General features: G+C 40.5%; 1 protein-coding gene and 1 long non-coding RNA gene across 12 annotated transcripts in view; one reads left to right on the top strand and one right to left on the bottom strand.

Moving 5' to 3' along the window:
• Nucleotides 1-26,501, bottom strand: part of FAT3 (FAT atypical cadherin 3) — a 671,656-nt gene that overhangs the window by 235,172 nt on the left and 409,983 nt on the right. The window lies entirely within an intron of this gene.
• Nucleotides 1,963-13,147, top strand: LOC124902732 (uncharacterized). The gene is made up of 3 exons (XR_007062837.1): nt 1,963-6,720; nt 12,843-12,935; nt 13,057-13,147. It is a non-coding gene; the product is annotated as an uncharacterized LOC124902732 (long non-coding RNA).

The raw sequence follows: 26,501 nt of genomic DNA, 5'->3' as shown, positions 1-26,501 counted from the left end.
TATCCCCTGAATATTTCTGTGTATCCTTGCCTCAGATGTAATTGTGTGTTTGATGTGCACTTGGACAGTCAGTGTCTGAACAGCTGACCACATGGGCCTTCCCTGGAAAGCCACCCTTCTTCTGCTGGCTCACCCCTGCCTTGCCTCCCAGCTCTACTGGCTACTGTTGGGTTTTTGAGCCATTTCCAACACTACCAAATACATTTATTTTGCTTACTCCTGTGACTATTGTTACTTCATAATCAAATACTCACCTAGTGAACTGCCCAGATTAAAATACTTATGTGTAGATGTAGAGGTAGAATAATATTTTTTCAATGATTAACTTTCACTAGGTCTGCTGATACAACTCTTATTGCCATTGGACCTAAATGCTGATAAATCACCACCTTGAAGACAGCTGTTGCTGTTTAAGACATAATCTAGAATAAGACATATTTTATGTGCTTATGATTGTAGAGAAGATTCTAAGTGACAGCTATATGATGAAAGCCCTTCAGCCCATGAAGTCAGTAATGGCTGACTCTGTGGTTTACCTTTGTCTCAAAGCCATAAAATCCAGAACAAGAAAAGGCCATGTCCACAGTTTAAGACCACGATTGAAATCACAGCATGAGAGACCCAGAGTTCTTGTTTCCTGTTTTCTTTTTGACATCATACTAGCTCTTATACTAATTTCAACCATTCTCAAAAGTCTTGACCATGGAACACCACTCCATCATGCTTAAGACAAGATTCCACTGGCAAGAGCAGGATGCAATCTGGACCTAGGATGACTGTTTGGTTATTGCTCTTGGACATCTCAGCAGACACACCTCTGCTCTAAGCCTTAAAAGACCTTTTTATCTCATTGCCCAGCCCCTGCTGATCCCTGGCACCCCTACCCCAGCCTTCATCACTTTCTAGGACATTATAAAAGACACTGAGACTCTCTTGGTGTCATCCTTCTGTTGGGACGCTAGTGTCAATGTAGGAAAAGCATCTATTTCATGCATTTAAAGGCACCTTTATAAACTCCCCACCCCCACCTTGTCCCAGCAGCACAAATGGTCATGTGTTTCGTATCAGCATTTTACTCTCAGGTTAGATGTTCAGTTTGCCAATAATAATAATAAATAATAAACAAATGTTGCTAGAAATTCAATGAGTTATTTGGATTGTTATTATGTAGAACTCTTGCTAGTTCACTAGCTTAAGAAAAAAAAAAGAATACTAAGTGGTGTGTATCATTGCTGCACTAAGTCTGCCGTGGTTTTACTCTCGAGTTTCTCCTCTATGCTGCCTGGAATGTACAGCCATATTCTCAACATTTGGCTAAGCGAAAACCACAAGAAAGGGCTCTAAATCTTGGCTGATGCTTCAGCCATTTTTTCCTAGTACCTTTTCAACTTCCCTCAGAGAGTTACTGTGTAAAAACAACACATTCACAGGGTTGGTGTCCACAATTGCAGGAGTTCCAGTCTGAGTTTCCTGAGATGCTCTTGGCAACCCACCTCCACCTCTCCCACTTGGCTACTTCCTGCAATGTGTCTTCATCACTGACAATCAGCACTCATAACTCACGATACAGAAACAAGGCCATCTTCTACCATCAGCTTCTCACCCTTTTTCTTTTATGCTCTAGAGGGTCTGAACCTAGGTAGCATCCCTCCTGAGATATTATTTCACAAGAAACCAATGTTTTTACCTGAAACACCTACTTTTCCTCTCAGAGACTTCCTGAATTTTTCATCTGCAAAATAGGGATAATTATGAAGAAGTGTGAGAAAAGGTGTAAGATAATATTTGTGAGCATGCATAGAAGGAAAAAGTGGAAGTAGAATCCTTATTTGAAGTTTAGGTCCATGAACTGATAACAAAGCAGTAAAAAAGTAATTTTCCCATCAGCTTTCTAGGCTAACGACTGCACCTTCATTTGGTTGTAGAAACTCAATGTACAACAAAATCATATTACAATGGGGACCTGTATTATTTTATTCCCTGAGTTCTATTCTTCAGTAGGAATGAATAACAGAAATAACAAGAACTTGGGAATCAATCCCTACTTGGATTTACATCTAAGCCCCACTCATGTGAGCTGCGGCAAGCTGGTTAGCCTCTGTGAATTTTAGTATTTTCAACTGTTAGAAAGAGGTAGGAAGAGCTAGCCCACCTTCCCTCTGGCAAGGTTACATAAAAATGCCTACCACATTTTCTTTTCTTTTCTCTTTTCCATAACCTACACAGCTTGACATGTAGTACAAGAATTTAGTGTCCCCTATCCCCAAACAGGAGCCTGCAGTTAGATAGTGAGGATTTGATGAACTGAAAAGGGGCCAGGAAAATGATGGCAATGTTGATGTTGATATTGATGATGATGATGATGATGATGATGATGATAATGACGATGATGACAATAGGCGAGTCATTGAGGACAACCATTTTTTACACCCTTTATCCATAAGGCACTGACAGCTCATTGAACAGGGCTTATGCTGAGCTGATGGGGCATGCTGAACCAGCTGTCTTTCTAAAGGAGAGTTTATCCATTCAGAAAATGTGATGGGCCCTCAAGGAGCTACAAGCATCTCTACTTTTAGAGAAGAACTTGAGAAAACACGTGGCATAGCAAATATCTGAAAGACTAAAACTGCTCAGGCCTTGTTTACTTAAGTCAGTACGGAGTCAGCAGCCTCTAGGGAGGCAGCAAGGCAAAAGGGCAAGATCGCTGGGGCTGGATTCTGAAAAACTGGATGAACTCAGAGCAAGGTAGAGGTCATTCAGTCCAGCCTCCTCCCCTGTGTCTCTGATAGATACCAAGCAAGCCCTGTCTTGCCTACTGTTTCTGATTGAGACCCTGCCTCACCCCACTCACCATGCTGTGAATGATGCTGAGTCTGAACCTGTGCTGTGCAATATGGTAGCTAACATCTTCACATGAACACATGAAATGCGGCCAGTGTAACTGAGAAGACGACTTGTAAATTTCACTTAATTTTAAATAGTTCAAACTTAAATTTAAAAACTTATATTTAATTCCACTTTTGGACACTTCTCAAATATATTTGGAACAACTTGTTTAAGTGAGCTTATTTTTCCAACTGTAAATTTCATGAAATCTAAATACAGATGAAGTATTTCTGAGGAAAACATAACATTCATATTGAAATGTGCTGTTAGCGTAAAATGCACATTGGATTTTGACGACTTAGTATAAAAATGTAAAATATCTTATTCATGCTTAATATTCATTAAATATCAAAATTATAATGTTTCCTGTATACTGAGCTAAATAAAATATGTTGTTAAATTATTTTAGCCTTTTTTTCACTTTTTTAATGTGGCAAGTAGAAAATTTAAAATTACATATATGGCTCCTATTGCTTTTCCATTGAACAGCGCTGGTCTATATAATGCAGAATTGGACGTGAAATTTCAGATATTGTCAGACCACTAAAAATGTGCTAGGAGTATCCTATCCTTTGTAATGGATTAGTTGGGTCTAACATGTCCCAGGCTTTAGAGCCATGAACTGAATTTCAATCCAGTTTCTACTAATTTAGATTTCATCAACCCGTTCTTAGCATCTGAGGTCTTCCTGAATCTGGATGAAATATTTGAAAGTATTCACTGTCCCTTTTATCTTTATGTCCTCTGAAAATTTGATAAATATTCCTAGTTGTTCAAATGACAAAATGCTGTGTAACTCATCTGGGAGGGCTTCAAAGATTTGTGAATTCCACAGCACACTCCAACATCCCATCATTTGTAAAAGTAAAGATGTCTCCTTTCACAGTGCCCATCGAAGGCACTCATCTGTACTTTACATGTTAATTTCACAGCCCTCACATAAACTTGGCTACCTCAGAGTCCGGGGCTGTGCCCACTACTTCCTGTCTACATGCCCACAATGCAGAGAATAATCAAATGCTGTTGACTGAACTTCTGCCAGCAAAATTATTGCCCAGGAAGCATGAAATGACTACATTTACCCTTTCATGATTATCTTTGTTCAGCAAAATTTACTCACTTTAGTTTACTGGGCAGATGGCTGGATGTACTACTGGAGATATATTTTGGGGATGACCAACCACTTGGAGTAATAGGGGATCAGCCCAATCCCATTCTGGGGTTGGGGTTGGGGTCTTTGGTAATACCACTGGAAAACGGGCATGCTTTATACAAAGAGATCTGAAAAATGCTTACCAATGTGACTTTCCTGTGGAAATATAAACCCCTGCTTCAACCAACACTCTTCCTGTAGAACAGGGTCTTCTCTAGCTTACTCCCTGGTACTGGTACATTTTCTTTTGTGCCACAGCTGTTTCTCCCCACCCCACCTTACCCCTGCACCCCCTCCCCTAACACACATACTCCAGTCTGTAAGCCAGGTGTTTAGGGGGTGGGAAGATGTGGTAAAATAAGCAGAGGAGAAAGTGGTAAAGAAATAAATGGTAAAAGACATTTTATGAAGAGTTCCAAGGGTCGAGTCTGCATCAATCTGCTTTAGTTCTTCCATCAATAAAATGAAATCCAAGCTGATAAAGTCCTCTACCCAGATATGCTATATTAACTGGCTAATTAATGAAAGTAACTCACTCTTAAAAATCCAAAGAATGCCATTAATGCTAAGTATTTTTTACACAGAAACCATTTAAAGTAATTAACAAAACTACAGTTGCTGTGAATTAGAAAGTAAATTTAAACTTAACAACCCATTACTGGGATGGCAAAAAAAAGCAGAACTAATGGTGGTCTAAGCCATTGTAGTGGAAAGTTTATGTTGGTGTCTGGTGGTTTGGTTGTGCCATTACATCAAGAAGATGTCTACATGCAATGAGCAGGTGGCTTGAATTATAAAAACTTCCTACATATTTGTTTTTGAGAATGAAGTGGAAAGTAAAGTAGTAAAAGCATCTATACATTGGAGGCTGATGGACCTTGCCCAGGGCAAGGATTCACTTGTGAGCCCCTAGGTCACTAGATCAGCACTATGGTAGATTTTAATGGAACAAAGGAAATTAATCAAGTGCTGACTGGCTGTATTCTAGCTGTGACAAAGGGAAAGTCAACAACCAACCCCCATCTTTATACCACTGAACACTGTATAATTTTGTTTCTATATCCAAGATGACTTGGTAATCAAAGTTCCTAGTAGGAACGTATGTCAAAAAGAGCAGAGCCGATAGTTTGAATCAAATTTGGAGCCAGGCAACCTAGTTCTAGGGGCTCATAACCCCAAAACTCTGTGGGCCTCTGGCAGCGAGATGGGCAAATATTTCAAGTATCTCACAGCCCCATCCCTCTTGTTTCCCTGTGAAATGTGGCAATGGACAAAATGGGATGGATTTAATGCATCCAGTAGCTTAAGTTTCAGTTACAGTAATTCATTGCATATTTATGAAATGAGGACTAAATGAAGACGTAATTCTGGACAATGCAAGGTTACAAAGCTAATCAGACATAGATCTGCTCTCAAGAAGCTTCTAAGCAAGCTTCAGAAATAGACCAAAAAATAAATGCTTGCACCCAGCATAAATGTTTGGTCCATTGACGGCAATAAAGGAACGTTGAATAGCTGAATACAGGCAGAGAGGGTTGGGTAAGAGCCATATTCAAGGCAAACACACTGGGAAGTTGGAGTCAGAAGAGGGCACTTCTAGCTGGGAGGGCCAGGGAAGGTTTGTGGCGTACCTCAAGGGGAACCAAGCACAAAGAGTCAGGAGTAAGTAGATGGGATGATGAGAAAAGAAATATACAGAGAAACAACAACAGTCACAATGAACAATGATTATTGCTTATTTTACTGAGAGTTTTATGTAATGATTACCTTCTGTCCTGCCAACAAAACCAATTTATAGATGAAGAAACAAATGTAGAGGAATTAAGTGATTTGTCCATGGTCCCAAAGTGATAGGTCCAGTATTCCTGAATTCATTCAATCAGTCATTAATTCATTCAATATTTATTGTCCTCACAATGCCAAAAATTGTTCTAGGTGCTGGAAATACAGAGTGTATCAAAACTGACCCTGTTGCTGTCCTCCAAGATATTGTGTTCTCCTGAGAAGAGACAAGTAACCCATCTCATTCATTCATTCATTCATTCATTCATTTACCTATCCTAGATAGTGATACAGGCCAGAAGGAGAATGCCACATGATAACTAATACATGTTGGGTGAATAGTGTTGAGTGGGAGAGTGACTACTTTAGTAAGAGGGATATGGAAGGCCTGACTGAGGAGGTGTTATATGAACTGAGACCTGAATTATCAGAAAGCAATAACCTTTCAGAAACCTGGAAGAGGTCATTATAGGCCCATGGGGCTACAAATGCCTTGAGGTAGGAACTTACAGGAGGGAATGAAAGCAGGCCATGGAAGCTGCTACAAGAAGAGAGGAAAAGGAGATGACTTGGTGAGGTCATGTAGGATATTATGGAACTTGAATCTTATTTTTTTCAGGAGGAAGTTGTTGTTGGGTGATAAATAAGGAACTGATATGATCTGACTTGTTCTTTCAAAAAGATTACTTTAGCTGCTATGTGGAACTGGAGCAAAGGAAACAGGAATAAAAGCAGACGGACCTGTTGTGCTTTGCAGTAATCTGGGTGAGAAGATGATAGTTGTGCCAGGGTTTCAGCAGTAAATATAGTAGTGGTGGTTGGGTTAGGGACAGGCCAATAGGACTTACTGACACCTTGGAAGTGAAGAGTAAGAAAAAGAGAGAGATAAATAATGGGTGAGTTACATTTTTTATTTCTATTTTGTTTTATCTTTCATTGTTGTGCTTTGGTTTTTGGCCTGCATAGCTAGGCAGACGGTAGCACCATTTATGGAGATGGAAAAGCAGCAAGAAGCAGCAGGTTTTGGTAATACAGGTAAGAGGACCCGGTAGAGAGAAATCAAGAATTCTGTTATATTCCTCTTAAGCTGGACAAATCTGTTAGCCATCTGAATGTGTGTGTTCAGAAGAAAATTGGACATATAGGCAAGAGGTCCATTTTGGTGAATCATCCATGTATAGATGCTCCAGATGCTAGTCTCTCTGATTTCCAAACTGTACCCATTCTGGCTGGAACTTACAGAACTGAAAAGAATTAATGGGAAACCAGATTGAAAGGTGGGTTGGGATTCTGAGGGAAATGTGTAATGAACTAGTTTCTCATCAGTTTATCTCCTGAATGCTGCAGCGGGGTACAATATAGCTAAAGTCCTTTGACTGAGTGGATTTTTGCCACTATTTGCAAAGAAAGATAGTTAAGCTAATTTGAAAATATGCTACAGAAAAAGAAATAAACAATACCTTATAATGGGGTAATTTAAAAATTTGAAAGCAAAATTTAAAACTAAAGATGGAAAAGCTTAGAAATATTTTGGTATTGCTATGGGATTTATGGAGAGCTGTGAGAAGTGGCAGGTAATGTGTGTAGAAATGGCTTTTCTAGAACCACGAGAGACCCTGCTTTAGTGACAGCACAAATAATCTATTCTAGTGAAAAATAGGAAAGGATAGTGAATATATTTAAAATTCACTGAAGAATTAATGCTAATTAGGCTCCAGCAGCCAAGAAGAGACAATGTAATTTATTAGGATCACAGTAGGAAGAATAACAAGGAACTGGACTTTCCAACTGCAACATATGGAAACAATTAATGTAATGATTTAAGCTCTATTGTGAAACAAACCCCATTGTCTCTTAATACTGCTAGAGCAACCAATTGCTTTAGTAAAGGGAGTTCTGGGTGTCCCCAGAATATTTATATTTTAGTAAATTTTTGGAAAGCAGATATGATTTGGTAGCCTTTACTGAACACTGCAGTATACAGAGCATCTTGGTAGGAAGGTAACCTGCATGGATGATTCAGGCCCCATCTCAAGGAGCTTATCTATCAGCTTCGAGCAATATTCTGAAACCAGGCACAGCCATAATTGCTAATACCACAAGGCAGCAGATGTGGGCCACTGGCATGACAGAAAGTGCCACCAGGACACAGAAGTAGGTTCCACGAATTCTGGCTCGGGCATTCAAATAGGTCTTATGGAGGAGGAACATTTTAATTGGATACCGAAGGACATGCACACGTGTGCACACGCATGCGAGCACACACACATACACTTTTGTCAAGCAGAGAAGGGGATTTAATTTTATTTATTTATTTTTTAGACAGAGTTTTGCTCTGTTGCCTAAGCTGGAGTGCAATGGCACAATCTCAGCTCACTGCAACCTCTGCCTCCTGGGTTCAAGAGAGTCTCCTGCCTCAGGCTATCAAGTAGCTGAGGTTACAGGCATGTGCCACCATGCCCAGCTAATTTGTGTATAGTAGAGACGGGGTTTCACCATGTTGGCCAGTCTGGTCTCGAACTCCTGACCTCAGGTGATCTACCCGCCTCGGCTTCCCAAACTGCTGGGATTACAGGCGTGAGCCACTGTGCCTGTCTGAGAAGGGGATTTTAAACAGAGTGTGAGCCCAAATGCAGGACAGAAGCAAAGGGAAATGAGGAAGAAGCCAGGGCTGGAAGAGGTGGTAGCACCTTCAGGAAGCATCTTCCCAGCTTCTATATTTAAAGGGGAAATTATTACAGGGATACACACATACACATACCAAAGAACAGCTATCGTTTCCCAGCCCCGGTGTCTTTAGACTCCTTTCCTCCCATTCGCCGGTTTCTGAGGAGCAGTTAAAGCAAAGGGAAATATCCATGGGAAGAAGATGGTCTCTGGGGAACTGAGAATGAGTAGGAGAAGCCTCATGTTCTTCATCCTAGGCAAGCTACTGATTTCTGTGTTTTCATCAAAGCCTTGTTTGTAGCTCTGAGGAACACAGGACCAGTTTTATTGGAAAATGTGGGCCAGATTTTTCCGTAAATTTATCTCTTCAAAGTGTCTTTGTAAATTCTTAAAAGCAAGTCAGTTTTATGGCCTTAAAAGAACAGTGAAATTAAATATTTTAAAATTATGTTATTTGAATATCTAACCTTCTTAACTAGCCAGACCAATGTATGTGTATGGCCTGTGGTTTCAATGAGAATGGAGGTCTTTTCCAGATGGATTTGTGTGGCCAGGGGTAGCGCCTTGTGCCCAGCGGATAAAAGTGGGGTGTTGGCTGCCAAGGCCTGGGAGCAGAGGCTTTGGAGTCAGCCCTGGTTACATCCCACGACTGCAGAGGGGGGTTGTTACTAAACCCTGTGTTTCAATATGTATATAAAAGACATAAAACAATACCTCCTTCCTGGGGTTGCTGAGATGATTGCAAGTGAATCTATGTGTTCCACACTGTCAGCTCTCTGTGGGGCTAGGTATATAAAAGTGAATCCTTTACCTTCAAAGTGTTTACACCCAGAGGAAAAGATGGACAATGGAAATGAATAGTTTATGCAAGTGATCAAATTGATTTTCATTTCTTTAAGGAAAAGCATCCCCTAGATGCTTAGATGTTTGATGTTGTTAGACACAACGTCAAACACTTAGAAGTTCAAGAGCTGGGGAATAAAATTTTGACAACTATAGCTTTGGCATGGTCTAACAGAGACAAATGGTGACCTGGTGGATTCGCATTCCCTACACAATCTGGGGGAAGAAAATAGACTGGAGGAAAAACTGGAAATCTGGAAGTGTGCAGGGGACTGACCATTTTGGCAGAGGTGTCTGCTCTCATCATGAATACAATTTCAAAGAATTTATTGTGCACCCTTGACTCAGACTGACTGAGAAAGAATGCAGTAGGGACAGGTGGATTTATTTTAAGACAAAAAAAAGTGTCTCAACTCCTATTAGAAGACACAGATGTCCCCATGGAGACTCTAATCTGAAGGAACACATAGTTCCAGAAGGGATTAGAGGAGCAACAAGCCTTTTCTACTCCACACTTGGGAATGATTCACACACCAGGAAAGCATGTTCCATACTGTGCCTATTCCTGAAGCTGAGTGCATTGACCAAGCCCAAACGGGCCCTCATGGGAAGTAGCCTGCAGCATCAAAGGTGCTTGTTTCCCTGACTCCCTTCAGCCCAGCCATCTTCACAATTCCACGTTACCTGCACACATTCCTGTCTTCTTCCACTAAACCACAAACTGCCTGAGCAAGGTCTAGGTACACTCAGGCATTTCTCCTCCCAACATCTAGCACAGCAGACTCTTTTGTGAACAGTAGCCATTTGACAATTGGCTGTAAAGTAAAGAAGATGCTGGAACTATAGGAGATGAGCAGGGCTACCAGCCTTACTTTGTTAAGTATATCCACAAACCAAAGGAGGCCAACCCCTTTCCACAACTGAAACCAACATCATGAACTGAGTTGGTTTATACTGAAAACTTCATCCGAAGGAATGCTTACTCCAGAGAGCAAGCTGCATTACTGATGAGGTTAAGGTACCTAGCATACCTAGCTAACTAGCTATCCATTACTGAATGATTGTTATTAATATGTTCCTCCTGCTAAACTAAGTGCTATTCATGAAATATCATTTAATCCTCACAATATCCCTTTAAGGTAAGTATTTTCATATTAACCCCCTTTCATAAATGAGGAAGGTGAGACTGAGAGGAGCTAAGTAATGATCTCCAGAACTAGCAAGGGGTGATCTTGGGCTCAGTCTTAGGGATGACGGTGTCTGGCACCAGCTCATGACAACCAACTGTGCTTTCATCTTCCTCAATTCCATGTTCAATGACTTCACTTTGGTAGCTTGAAATTGGCTGCAATGGGAGTATTTACACCACAAAAATCAGCAAGCATTACCAATCAGGGCTTTTTTGTTGTTAAAGAGCCAATTCTTATCAGCATGTCCACTGCCTAGGGCTGTCTGATTCCAAAGACTCTGTGCTAAGGAACCACTACTCCCTGTGTACTTGAAAAATAATAGCACATGAACTCAGCAATAGCTGAATGTTGAAATAAGAAGGACAGTGCGTATTAATGAGTGCAAACAGAAGGATAGGTATGTAGCGAGGCTGTGAATATTAAGATTTGTCAAGAATCCCCAGCATACAGGGGACAAATACAATATCTGGAAGACTCATGTCATCAGGAAGTTAAGATCTTGTAAAGCAGAAGGAAGAATAGTTCATCAATCTCCACCAGAGGCTAGAACAAATAACCCTCAAGAGCAGCCAGTGTCCCCTCTCTGGTTCCTGGAAGGAAGAACAGACACCAGCATTCTGGTAGGATGCAAGGTATACATCCAATCATAATGGCAAAAAAAAAATGGCATTTCAATCAGCTCCTATAGACCTATTCATCAGTTCTCTAATGTTTTATAACTCTTAGGTGGACAGGTGAAACTTTTCTTCACCGTATACAAAGGTTAGCACCCAGCACTCTCTTTGGGTATGACTTCAATTATTTCCTACAGAAATAAAGTGAAAAGGAGAAAGAAAATGGAGAGAAAGAGAAAGAAGGTGCATATATATATATATATATATATATATATATATATATATATATGAACATACAAAGTGGGTGTTTAACAAATGCTCGCTTAAAGAATAAGAAAAGATAATGAAGAAAGGAGGATTCACTTATGATTTCACTTTGATCTCTCACCATCTAATATCTAGATCGCTGACATAAGAACGTACCTAAGGCAGACCCATCTGGCTTTAAATTAGGATGGAAGGCCCAGTTTCATTTTTCTGACATCCCTGCATTCCATGGCGATGTGTGTAGCCCACAGTGATGAGGGTCTGGCTAACAAAGCGCTGAGGCACAATCAAAACTCCTGCTATGCAACTTTGGGGAGAATCTTTCCAAATCATGAGTGATGGACATCCAGAGCAGGGACCCACTGGCAACATGATAAGGAACAAGTCCTCAACAGCAGCTAAAAGGAAAAGGGAGTGAAGGAAGAAAATAACCAATTTCAGGAGAGGTCTAGAGCTCTGCCTTCACCTTGGCAATAGCTTTTTCCCTCACTCAGGCCAGAATTACAAGGGATAGCTGGGATATAGTTGCAGATAAAGTACAAGCAATTCTTTAAATCATAAAACCCTAAGACAAGCATCAAATGCTGATTTGTATGGTGCTCTCTAGAGTCCTGCTTGCTATAAAACGCTATCCTAAGGTATCTATAGTTGTAAACTTCCATTTTAAGATTCATAACTCTACACAAGTTTAATGGAAATCAATAGATCCAGGAATCCTATATTCTTTATAATTAGGAGAAATGCCAGTCTTCATCACAATCCAGGGTGAGATCTGTTTCTTCACGTGCCCCGACACTTTTCCACACACTGAATATGAGAGACAAATATCACCATTTATGCCTCACTGGGCAGGTGCATTTTGAAGCTAAATTATAAAGATAAATGGAGCAGGTGGGACTCAGAACAGGGCTGTAGAAACAAGAGATGAAAACAGAAGGGAGAGCAGAAGGAGAGGGGAGTCAGTGTTCAGTTCTGGAGGAAGTAATCCAGAGATACTTTGCAGTATTCCGGTGTGATCCATACTCGTTTCTGGACAGCTTCCGACTGCAGTGTCTTCACAGGCCTTATTTAAATGTGGATCTTCATGCCTGGCACCAGTCCAAGGCAATGAGCATGGCCGTCACAATGGTTTGTTGAATCCTGGTTCTGGGACACAATTTTATAGATGGTCCATGTCTTGGGCTCAGATCCTCCAGGAAGCAAACTGAGGTGGAGATGAGCATGTAGCTTAAAGTGTCAACAGCTGTGGGGCTGTAAAGGGAGTAGGATTGGGCAGAGGCAGAAAACGAATGACAGAAGGCATTAGTGGATCCAGGAGGAGCTCTGGAGCTGGGAAGGTACTGCAGTGTTGTTCTGCTCTGAGGGAGGCAGGCCAGGCATTTGGACCTATCCCTGGAGAGGGCAAAGGGGCTCTCTTCACCTGAACGCTATTCCTAGAATCAGCTGAGAGTCATCAACTGCCAAAACTTCCAGAAGCAGGAGGAATTGGTGACTTAGTCCTGGAGGGGCCTGCACAGCACACCCCCAAAGGTAAGAGTGGTCAAAGGTGCCACTTATATGCAAAACTATTAAAGCACTTCCTCTGATTTTCAGTGGGGTCAATGACTATAGTTTTTCTTCAAGTAATCATCTTCATATACATTCTTTGCAGAAAGCCTCATTCCTCCAAACTAAAACATGGCAATGCAATTCATCTGCTCTCTTCATCCCAGAAAGAACTCTGCCATCTTCCCTACCCTACCTACCACTACTGTCATAGGAATAGAGCATGAGAGACCAAATCTCCAGAAGGAAGAGAAGAAGACCTTATGCCTCCAATGTCTTCATTCCTTGACCACTTTCCTCATGGTCAGGTGAATTCCTACTGAAATCCTCTTTCCGGCTCTTCTATCCCTAACAGATGAAATCAACCTACTGAAATCCAGGTCTACTAGTGAAATAAAACTAGGCATATTTTTTCACTGGATGAACATACAGCATGAAGACAGGCACATATTCTGCTTGATAATTTCCTGTTCTGTACTTTTAACATTTATTTTAAAACCCTGCTTATCCTGGAGCAATCTATTTCTCCAACCAAACATGAAGCAAATGTCTACTGTTTCCTGCGTTCCTTGTTTAGAGGGCCAGAGGTATTAAGATCCAGAAACATGATTGAGGAAATTCCATTTAATTGATAGTTTATTGGTTGCAAAACTATAAGCTCATTGGAAGTAGGAAATGTATCTTACTGGACTTGACATCTCCCAGAGCCCCTGGTAGAAGCTGCTGTTCATGTTGAGCCCTCAATGCTATTGGGCTGAAAAATGTTATAAGAATTATCATCTGTTTCCTAGATGAAGAAGAGTTCAGAATATCCTTGAAATATTTAACTTCTGCAGAAAAGTGCATGCTGTATCAGTTTAAAATACTATGTAATATTGATGTAGAGTTTTTCCAGTTATGACTAGACTCTTCATCCTAGCTTTCAAAGACTCAATCCAGTGTCCACAATTCACCTTGTTCATCTTATTTTGAGCAATTATGTCATTTGGAGTCCATTCCTCAAATGTTCTGTTGTCCATAACATCCTCCTGTATATGAATCCTACCTAAACTATATGTTCTTTTAAAATAAAGATCAAACTTTTATTTATTCATCTTTATATATCTTTTTCTAAGTTGCTCAACTGAGTTTGTGGAAAGTTTTTGAGAGAGATTAAAGCAAACCATTCATGCTACAAAAGAGCAAAACGAAAGATAATTAAAGTATTAAGATCAAAGAAAAGGGGATATTGCAAAAAATGCCAAATGGAAGGCTCAACATTATTGATTCAGTTTCAATCTTGGGTCTGAGCATCCTAAAAGCCAATGGGTAAAAGAAAATAGGAATTGTCCTAGTTCTTATCAGAAAGAAGCAAGCAGAACAGGTCTAAAAAAGCTATGCCTAGTATGATTCTCACAAGGGATTCTGTAATGAGGGATGCAATTAGCATTTCACAGAAAATACATTTAGAAATTGTGTATGCTGTTTCCTACAAGTCCTTCCAAAAATGGTGATGGCCATGTCCTTTTATCACTAATGTACTGCAAACTAACAGCTGCTAGATAAATGTTATCAGTGTTGACAACTCTGGGTGCACATCTGTGTTTAAGCAAAATGTTCCTTTTTTGGGAATACTCTTCTCCAGTACCTTCATGATTTGAACCTTATCTATTCTTCCAGGCTCAGCCCAAAACTCAAACCTGACCTCCATGAAGACTTCCTTCCTCATGTTGATTTTCTTACTCTGCATTAATGTGAGAGTTCTGCATACGGAACTTAGTGTTTTTGTTTAAACATTGTTTTAGAGTTGCTCAGTAAGTATGCCTTTCCCTTCAACTAGCTGGTATGAAACATTAAAGATGGCTGCAATTTCTTTTGTACTTCTCTCATGGAGAAGAAGAGTCTAATTATCCTCCCATTGAATCTGGGCTGGCCTTGGTGACTTGCTTGACCAATAGAATATGGTAGAAGTAATGTCATGGCAATTCAGGCTTATCTTCTCAGACAACTAGCACATTCTCTCTGGACTTCTTAGAACCCTGATGTGCCATGTTGTAGAAATTCTAAGCCATGAGAAAAAGCCACATGCAGGTACTTTTGTTAACAGTCGCAACTGAGCCTAGCCTTCCATCCATCTATTTTATGAACTAGGCCTATGCTGAAGCTGTCCTGGGCTCTCTAGACAGTCCATCAACCAGCTGACCACCACCAAGTGACCTCCATCAATGCCATCCGGAACTAAAGAATTCTCATCCAATTCCTGCCTGAATTCCTATAGAATCTTGAAATCGAATGAAATGTTGATTGTTGTAAGACATTAAATCTTGGGATTATTTGTTATGTAACAATTGATAGCAAATCAGTCATAAGCATCCAGAGGCTATTTGTTGAAGCGATTGGATAAATGAAGTAGAATACATGATGTAAATCTAAATCATGTATTTTACTTCATTTACCCATTCACTTCAACACAGAGCTGTGGAATACCCACCATGTACAAGGCAATGTTGTAGGAGCTGGAGATAAAATGAAATGAATGAGACAAATATCTCTGTCACACTAGTAGGGGAGACAAAGAATGAACATGAAAACAAATAATGTTATTAAATACTTTTGTAATATCCAAATTGCCAGGGACAGCGCTAACTATAGAAAGTAGTGACTAATGAAGGCTGCATTTCTATGCACACACAACACAGCTAAATGTGTCATTCCCAACTTTACCTAAAAAAAAGCAAACAAAGAAACTTAACTGAATCCAAGCATTTAGTAGACTAAGTTACTAACAAGACAAGTCAGATAAGCCAGAGAGGTTTATAAACAACACATTTCTAGTACAAATGGGTATAATGAAAAGATGTTTACCTGTTTTTTTTTTTTTTCTGAAAAGCAGTGTCTTCTTTGCCTTTGGAGTCCTAAAACTTTTATTAGGAAAAAAGGGGGCAAACCCCCAGCTTTTCAGAAATGTAGGTTATTCCCTAACCAGCGTAGAATGTATTGCTCCATAAAATGTCAACATCAAAACAGTATAGAAAAAATAATTACAGACAGTATTAGTGTTGTAAGCTGATAAGGACCAGATGGTCTTTTGTATTTATGGTTTTCCTTGTGCATACAAATGCTTTGGGGATCTAATTAGCCTTCTACAAAACTCAAACTGGGTAATTACTATCATTATCCCCTTTTCAAATAAATCTGAAGTCTAAACTGCAATTATGTTTTTTATCTTACATTTGGTATTCGCACATTTTAAGAATTGTTCTTTGCCATCTACTCAGAAAACTTCTTAACATGGACTGAAGTATATAAAATGCAGGAAGATTATCAAAAAAACACTTTTTGGAAAAAATGGCTCACTCTGTTAGAGGAAAGTGCTGACAGCCATGGAAGCAAGCACTTCCTCAACAAGTCCCGCCTCTGTCATATTTTCACTCCAATCAAGAAGAAAGTCCCTCTTCCCCAAGACTTTATATTTCCAGTTATGCTTTGCACAGCAAAAGAGAAGAATCACTACATGGAGACATAACCAGTCACGCATGTTAGAGAAAGGATTCTCTGTGAGATGCGATGTGGCAGCCGCTTCAATTAACTTCTGACTCTGCCCCCAAAGTGCAATACCTGGGCCAGCAATGAGCTATGAAAAGGCAGCAGTGCGCATAACAAGCCTGGTATGTCATCTTTATGGGTTTTTTGGCCTCAGGACAGTCAAGTCACGTGGTAACATCTCTGTATTGCAAAGCAAAGGGGACGTAATCACATGTGTCCGTGAACTCATAATAGAAAATTCATAAAAGTCTATCTCCAGTGAGAAGTATGTGAAAAGGGGTGTTAGGAAGTGAACATTTTATTTTAGGCACAAGGCCAAGGATCAGAGTTATCGGGGGGGCGGGGTGGTATGTGTGTCTTCCTCGATAGAACAAAACACAGTGACAGGTATCAGAAACTACTTCTTCCTCAGCATCACCCAGTGAGGAAGTCAGGAATATTCAGGATGTTGGCTTGACATCTCAAAATTTAGCATTATGATTACTGATCCAGGGGTCAAAATCCAAAAATAATTGATAGAGGGAACCCTCAGACCTGCAACTCATGAACATAATTGATAGAGAGAAAACCCATGACCTGCAACTGAGCAGGGTACTTGGCACTAGGGAGGCACTTTTACTAAAAAGAGATGCTATATGTCAATGCAGGCTTCAGAGGCACCCCCACCCCTGGCCTGCCTGACAAAAGGATGGCTCTGGGGCTGCCACCTTGGCCCCCGGCCCTGGAGACTGCCCTGGGCTGCCCTCGCAGGCAGCAGCAGAGGCACCCAGGCATTGACAAGGATGGCTGCAAGGTCAGCACTTTATTCTCCCTGATATGATGACAGTAACCTTTGCAATGCACTGAAAAGAATCTAGAAGGCATGTAGCCATTCTTTTATCCATTCAACAAATATTTACTAGGCATCTACTTAGTGTGATAAATCACATGAGGCAATTTGTGCAAGTTCAGATGTCAACAAAACATTGGCCTTGGAAATATTGTCAGGTTCCAATCATAAAAGTCCCCTACCCAATACCGTATGAGAACAAAAGTGCTTAGGTGGCTTGGTGTGTTTGCACACAAGCAGTGGTAAAGTTTTTGCATCTTAGGCTTCTGTGAGAGCCTGGGGTGTTTATGGGCAGTGATCACAATTGGGGAATTCATAATGCCAGGGACTGTCTTCATCTATCTCTGAGTGTATATATCTCCTTGTAACAGCACCTTAATATTTGTACAGTCATTTTTATAGTTTACAGTGTATCTTTACCCTCATCATCCTCCTTGTTGGAAGCATAACAAGTGATCTTATCCCAATTTCACAGATGGACAAGATGGATGGGAGACATTAAGGGACTTGCCCAAAGCTATGCAGCAGTAAGAATCCTAAGCAGGACTCACATGCAGGTTTTCTCACTACATGAAAAACCTACAAACTTTCTGGACACTGCACTGGCTGATGAGGGTTTTTCCTGAAGCCTCTGAGCAGAAGTTGGGTGTCAGGGCAGCTCACTGCAGGGCTGTCTGGGCAGCTTGTTTAGGTGACTTAGGCTGCTTGGCATCTTAAATGCCCCTTTGCTTCTGACGGTGCAGGTCCAAAGCCCAGGGGAAATTTGAATTAGGGCAAGACCACAGTATCTGCATTAATTTGCAACCTGATGTAATAGAAAGAACAAAGATTTTCAGTTAGTAGGTTCAGGTTCAAGGCTCAGCTTGGTCCACATGAGCTCCATGAAGTAATTTAATCTCTTTGGGATTTGGCTTCGTTATAAGAAATCATGTCTGTGTTGTGTAGCAATTTAAAGCAAAAGATAAGCATCCTGAGGCTGAAATAATGTATTCTGCTTCATTTATTCATTCATATTACCTCACAGGGTCACTAGGATAATTGAATGAGATGGCATGGACAAAGCCCAGGTACAGTGCATGGCAGAGTAAGGGTTAGCTCTGTTCCATTTTCTGTCAGATTTTCTGTGGGTTTTGTTTTACTCTGCAAAGGAGAGAAGGATATGCTTAAGAGTTCCCATCATGGGAATGCCCCAGGACTCTAGGCATCTAGAGAAAGCCTTTTTGCTGGCTAAATGTCAGCAAGGCAGCTGGAGGGAAGTGTCAGTCATGACATAGTCTGCTGTCTCCCAGTAAGTAAAGGGTAAGAAGCCCTGTCTCAATGCTCTCTAGAAATGCTCAGCCAATCCTCAAATGGGCAGTAATGCATCACTATCTGCCTTGTTTAATGATGGAAATTAAAGGCAAAAACAATAGCAACCATGTCTGCATTTTCATAAGCATTTCTTGCTGATTTAAATATAGTCTGTGAATTCTCTGGTCAGGATGAAATCCAAAATACCTTCCATATCCACTTAGCAGAATGGGCTTCCTGCCAGTCAAATGGTTGTGTGGGGCCCAGAAAATAATTGAGATGACAGTCCAGTTTTGCACTGGAGGTTAAAATATCAAATTGTATCAGTTCTATGTCTGATGTTGATTCATCCTGCCAGCTTACTGGGTTCTGAGGATGACAACTAAAGCAGTGAACTGGCCATGTTCCCACATGAGGGCATCTCTGAGTCATGGCACTGGAGAACCCAAAGGCAATCACAGCACAGGGTGAAGATGGGAAAAGAGGATGAGGCTTAAAGCCCAGGCAGATCTGGCAGAAACTTTTCCTCTACCAGCATCCATGGCTGGCTTGGATCAGTTCCTCAGGTTCTGAAAGGCAGAACACAAAGGAAGATCCACAGCCCCCCTTTTCAGATACATGCATTTCATGACCTGCCACAGCTGTTCCCATTTGGAAGAATGGACATGTGGTCCAGGTTGGATCAATGGCTTTCATGAAAATTCAGACTTCCTCAAACGGCTTCTACAAGTGTGCATTGTGCCTCCCTTCAACCTCATGTTGCAGAGATCTCAACATTCCAGTAGCATTTGGTATTGGTATATACTTTTTCAGCTATTAAGAACCATTGTTTTTGTTTGCTTGAGTTTTACAGTTATAGCAATAAACTTTGTTTCTAAACTTAACATAAATGATAAAGTGACAAAATGATTATAGCATGTTTGCAGGGGGTACCCCCAAAAGACATATCTATTCTAGCCCTTGGAATACGTGAATGTGATGCTATTTGGAAAAAGGATCTTTGTAGATATAATTAGGTTAAAGACTTCAAGATGAGATCATCCTAGATTACCTGGGTAGACCCTAAATCCAATGACAGATATCCTTATAAGAGAAAGGCAGAGGGGGATATGGAACATGGAGTGGAAAGCAATGTGAAGACAGAGGCCGAGATTGGAGTGACGCAGCCTCAAGCCAAGGAATACCTGGAGCCACTGGAAGCTGGAGGAAGCAGGGAAGAATGCTTCCCTAGAGCCTTCAGAGAGGGCATGGCCTTGCGGAAACCTTGATTTCAGACTTCTGGCATCCAGGACTGTGAGAGAATAAATGCCTGATGTTTTAAGCCATGAAGTTTCTGGTAACTTGTCATATTGGCCCTAGGAAACTAAAAAGCTATTAGAGTACATTTATAATTATGCAGATATTTAGCATATATGTTAAATAAATATATAAATACATATTATGTATCTGGGGAGAGAGAGATATATTGAGAGAGAATGCATAGTATATGGTGAACATTTTTTGTGTGTGGTAGGGGACAGGGTCTCTCTCTGTCATCCATGCTGGAGTGCAGTGGTACAATCTTGGCTCACTGCAGCCTTGATCCCTGGGCTTAAGGGATCCTCCCACCTCAGCCTCCCGAGTAGCTGGGACTACAGGTGCATGCTATCATGCCTGGCTAATTCTGTATGTTTTGTTGAGACAGGGTTTCACCATGTTGCCCTGGCTGGTCTCAAACTCCTGAACTCAAACAATCCACCTTCCAAAGTGCTGGGATTGCAGGTGTGAGCCACCATGCCCAGACCAGAACACTGTTTTTCTATCACGTAGTATCTAAATTCCTTCATCATCCTGGGTTGAATGATGGACAGGAAGCCACATTCACATTCACCAACTGTGCCTTATGTTGGGGAAAGAAACAGTGACACAACATTGGGGCCCATAAAATGGGAATTGAGAAAGAAAACAATACAGGGCTACCTTTTACTCAAAATGATTCATTAAATACTCTATACAGTTGGCCTACCTGAAAGAGTTCATACTAACTGCATTCATAAAATAAGTATTAAAAGGTGAAAGTGCAGTGTGCTCAATATTTAAAGGACTATCTGGCATGAAACTTACAGCAATGATTCATATAAACTATTTTATGACTCTGTGTCCTTACTTTTATGTGTATGCATTTACACTAAAACTTTCTCATGTTTCTAACCTGTTCTATTAATAACAATAAAATAATAGTCATAATGGCAGTAATTAATAATTACTGAGCACTTAGGACTCAGGCACCAGGCTAAGCTGTTTATGTGCATTATTTCATTTAACAAATCCATAGAGTTCCTCTGAGGAATGTACTATCATATCTGTTTTTAGATTTAAAAGCAAACATCATGTTCAGCAGGATGAAGCACCTCACCCTGGCTGGTGGTTCTCACAGTTGGCAGGAGTGAGAGGCTCCTGTCCCACAGCTGCTTGGCCCAAAAGCTCCTGACTCCAAGCAGTATACAGCAGGCTTGAGGGCAGGGAGAACCTAAAATCTGTCCTGAGATTCTCTTGTGTCTTCAGAATCAGTTAGAGGACCCTGATGTAGCCTCTCTAAACTCCCTGTTCCAATATATTTAAAGAAAAAAAGGGCAAAAAAAATCAGAATACTAAAATGAAGACTGCCAGGAACTGAAAGGTATTAAAATGATAAGTAGGGTCTGGCCAAGGACAGTAGGGGAAATCGATGTTCTGAGGAGGAACGATATGGAGGTGGCATGTATAAGCCATTAGGGAAACTGGCCTGGCATTGTCCATGGACGTCGCCGACATCAAACTCATGAACCAATGTAGCTCCGGCCCTTTCCTGTAAGGTGATTATATAAATTATATTTCCACTGCAGAAAACACACTTGTAAAGTGGCTAGGTGTGACTACAACCCAGATAGCCCATAATGCTAAGTGGTGATTCTCAAAAACAGAGTCTACCTATAAATAAACACTGCCACTGACTAGTAAAGGATGAAAATCACAATACAATGAATAGAACCAGCAGGCCCCTCAAATACATCCTCCTCACTGGCTGAGTAGACTCACACAACTCAGGCATTTCTGTTGCAGAATCATTTCTATGCTCAGGTATCTTTTCAAGCACCATGCTCAGACATTAAATGGTTCCCAGCAAAGTGGGCAGGCCAGGTAAGTTAGGGACCTCAGAGAGAGATGGGGCATGGGGGAGGAGAGAAAGAGAGATTGAGAGAGAGAGAAAGAGAGAAGTGATCTTGATTTTTTTCACAACCACATTGCAGTGCTGTTTGTAAAGAACTACAGGACTCTGTGATGCTCCCTGAACTATGGAGAGAGGCACCCAGCTCTTGAGTATGCATGGTTCTCATAGTATAATTTATTAGACTTAGAAAAATTAGTTGCTCCCCAACATAAAAAAGATGGCAGACAGCATTAAAGGTAGTTTCTGGGGACGTTTGCTCTAGAGTGGCAGATACTAATGATGAAGCCCTGGAGATCCTAGAAGGTGTTACACTCATTAATCTCCCATCCATCATGCAGGTACTGATTCAGATGGAAAGGGCTAGATGGTTGATTCCTGACCAAGAGAAGATTTGGTCTGGAAGTCAGCCTGGCTTAATTCATTTGTGTCTGTGCCTCTAGCTGTTAGCATTAATATACTCATAATATTATAACAACTAATTAATGCATTAACCTAGAGAAATGTGGGTAAATGGGAGAATAAAATGGGCTGATTATGCTTGTAGGCATGGAATCTGAATTTTCTTAGTCAGACATGGCTTATATGAGATTAGTAGGGGCTCCAAGAAGTTAATAATCAATCAGTGAATAAGCACTCTTATAGTCTGAAACATGACTAATATCACTACCAGACCAATCGTCATTGGGTTCCTTTAAAAACACTGACAGTTCACAAGAAGGGATTAACAGGTATTGGAAATCAAGTATGCTCAGCACAATTGGCCAAGTTTCACATACTCCTTCACGTGCACAACCCAGGATAGCAAAATTTACATCGGAATGTCTTCATGACTTCTGAAAATTATTGGTGCTGACATTTCCTATGAGACGTGCTTCAAGTGTCCAATTCAATTGTAAAATTCAGTGGGTCCAGATGTGTAGCAAAAAGTAGGGGAACCACATTTCAGAACTCGTATTCATTTAGATTTAAATACAACTCCAAGCAATGCTTTCCCCATTTATGAAATCTGGGCTCCAAAAGTCCAAATTCACAATACAGCTTATTTTAATTCACTTACAGGTAAATAAAGAATAAGAGAGATGCTATAAAAATCGACAATCACAGTGGAATACACTGGAGATCTTAGCTAAGGCAAACTCATGTGGAAACAAGAGTAAAGAATGCCCAAGACACAAAGGTCCTAAAAGGCCTCTGACTGCTTTACTGCATTTGGTTCAAGATCACGTTCAATAGATTATGAAAAGACGTATGAGTTCAGGGTTAGATACATACTTGCATATACATGCCTGTCTGCTCTCCACATTACTTAATGTAGCTTAAATTTAATATGCAAATGGTCACCCTATCACCCAGTCCAATGAGTACCTCTCAACCTTTCTGAAAGGCATCTGACAGAGTTCTATTTATTGAAGGTAAAGTCAATAAAATGCATATAGTGACATTCAGACTTCCACATGACTGTGATCCATCCCAGAGTATGCACCAAACATAACATGAAGTACATGGACCTCCCAAACCTCAAGAGTATCTGTCACCTGAAGGAGGGATATGCAGTATATTAAGGTAAAAAACGCAATATCCAAACAGCATGCGGCTTTTGCTGAGATTCTAATTTATTTCCAGGAACTCCATATGCCTGACAGGCTGGTTCATTTATTTTGAAAACCAAAGCCTCATGTATAATAAGGGATGTCATTATTTAGAATATGATAGAGTCAGAATCATTTACATAGTATATAGGATACATATTCAAAAGCTCAGCAAGGAAAGACAAACCCCATTATTCATAGTTACCTTGCTCTTATTTCCTTGGGAGATCTTCATAACCACACAGAGGCACACAGTCATGAAGTTACTATAGTTCTTAACGTATGTTCCTGTCAGCCTGTAGGTTAGCTGACTACTTAGTGGAAATGAAAGGTGCATTGCTATTTGCCAAGCCCTTCTCTGAGAAAGGCATTTGTGACTTCAGTGCCATTAATGACAGAGAGATTCTGCAGTTATTGCCATTCTTTGGAATGATTCATTGCAAAAGTGAGAGAATTTAATCTTTTCAACAAGCTGGAGGCAGTTTACATTGTCTTTATTTTGTTACTGAAACAAATGGTGCAAAAATGAAAATTCATCCTTCCTGACCCCCTCTTAGCCATTCTCTCTTTTGAGCCATCCTCTCTTCTAAGATAACAGGACAATAGGGCTAGACACCTGTAAATCACATCTGGGGCTCTGAGAAGAAAGAGTATGCAAGAAGTCTCATGCTTCTTCTCTAACCAATACTCAATGGGGCAGTGGGTTTCCAGTCATTCCTTCTCTCACTTACACTAATTCTCAACAGGCTATCAGCTTTGTGAGAGAGGAAATGTCTTTTCCCTTTTGTGTATCTTTGTATTTCCCTTGTCATTTTGATCCTGACTGACTCTCCCAGCCTAATGCCTGGCACTGAACATTTGTTCATTAAAGGTCTGCTGTTGTTGAATGACCGATCCTTTGAATGCTGACAGAAACGGGCAAGTTGGAGGAGGATGAAGGAACCACTCACAGCTGCATCTGCAGTGATGGCCAGAGGTCCAAGTAGAGAGGCTATGTAAGACCAGCACTGATGTCATGGGTGATATTGACATTTGTAGCCAAGATAACTTAATTTTGCTTTGGATGTGTCATTAAGTTATTTGAAAAATGACACAGCTGAGGCTAATGATGAAAAGAACACAGCTGGATTGTCATGGTTCCTTTGACAGAAACAGGCTTCCTGAGCAATATAGTCTACACTACTCGCCTAAACAAAAGAGAGAGTTCTGAAGCCTGAAGCCCAGTGAAAGCAGAGTCTTCAGTAAATTCCAAACTGTGCTACTCAATAGAAAGCCCAATAGCTGTCATGAATCTTGCTGACTTTACTTTTTTATCACAGATTGATTTCTTCTTTATTGTTGGATCTTTGTTTCTCACTGCCTAAAAATGTTTTTTTAAGAGCTACTAAAACTCACTGCCCAACAATTAAGATGATCTAATTTGTCTAAATTCTACCACATGTGTCCCTGACCCAGTAAGTCCTTTAAGAAGATGTAACTGAAAGGAATGTAATTTCTGAAGAACTCTGACTGGAATATGGATTAAGGATAAGGTAATGACAAGTCTCTGATTTATAGAAAGAAGAGTCCCTAGTATAACTTAGCCTTAGCTTTTCTTTTTTCCTGCCCAATCACATATCACGGCCAAAGTCAAAGGAAATCTCTGAATCTTTTAAGAATAGAAGACCTGCAGGGTGCAGTGGCTCACATCTGTAATCCCAGCATTTTGGGAGGCAGAGTGGGTGCATCACTTGAGGTCAGGAGTTTGAGACCAGCCTGGCCAACATGGTAAAACTCCATCTCTACTAAAAATACAAAAATAGCCAGGCGTGGTTGCACCCACCTGTAGTCCCAGTTACTCGGGAGGCTGAGGTGGGAGGACTGCTTGAGCCTGGGTGGCAGAGGTTGCAGTGAGCCAAGATGGCACCACTGCATTCGAGTCTGGGCGACAGAGTGAGACCCTGTCTCAAAAAAACAAAAACAAAACAAAACAAAACAAAACAAAAAAGAAGACCTTGTAGGAACTGCTTACATCTATTTCTAATACTTTGTTACTGAACACCCAATGACCCAATATAGTTTTCATAAGGAAATTATGGCTACTTCTTATTGAAATATTTATTTTGAGTTGCAAGACAGAACACTTTTCTCCTATGCTTTAATCTTCCCTTAACAAAAAGATTGTAAGTATTTAAGTCACTCCAGTTACATTGAAAGAGAATAATCAGTTTCTGTTCAGTGCTAGCTGAGTTAAATAGCAGCTCTGTTTCCAGAAAGATAATAATGTCAAAAATTAGACAGAAAACAGCAGGCATTCTGGGGAATTTAACTGTTGAACAAATGGCTGGAAGGTGCTTCAAAGTCAATTTAAATAATTTTAAAAAAATCACACCCTGAGTTGAAGCCTAAGAACTCTTCTTCTCCATATAATTAAAACATAATGCGTAAGAACTCATCAGACAGTGATTCCTGATATTTTAATAACAAAGTAGAAGGCCTTCATGATATGGCTTATTATCAAATATATTTCATTGTACTAGAGATTAAATCAATTCCAGTGGAAAACTAACTATAGCATGTAGAAGAAGCCTGGTTCAACAAACTCTTCTATGAAATGGGTTTCTCCATATCAGTAACACAAAAATGTCCTGCTGAAAATTTTGTCTTAAATATTCTGTAGGAGAGTAGGTCAGAGTGATAAAAAGAAAAAAAAAATCTGAATCTAAGCATCATAGTATGCTCAAGAATGCACAGACCTCATGATGATAGAGGAACAGGGGAGCAGCACAAGGACTGCCCCAGAGCTGCTTATGTAAGTGTGTCCAGGCTGCCATCACCAAAGACCACAGACTGGATAGTCTAAACAATAGGCATATCGTTTCTCACCATCTTGGAGCTAGAAGTCCGATATCAAGGTATCAGCATGGCCAGTTTCTAATAAGGGCTCTCTTTATGGTTGGTATGTCTTCACAAGGCCTTTCCGCTGTGGGTGCTCAGAGGGAAAGAGGGATGGTGGAAAGAGAGAACGCTGTGTGGTCTCCTCCTATAAGGACACACTAATCCTACTGGATCAGGGGTCCATTTTTATGACCTCACTAAACCTTAATTACTTCCTTAGAGGCTCCTTCTCCAAATACAGCCACACTGGG

Source organism: Homo sapiens, chromosome 11 (genome assembly GCF_000001405.40).
Source record: "Homo sapiens chromosome 11, GRCh38.p14 Primary Assembly".
Lineage (NCBI taxonomy): Eukaryota > Metazoa > Chordata > Mammalia > Primates > Hominidae > Homo > Homo sapiens.
This window is presented reverse-complemented; position numbering and strand designations above follow the sequence as displayed.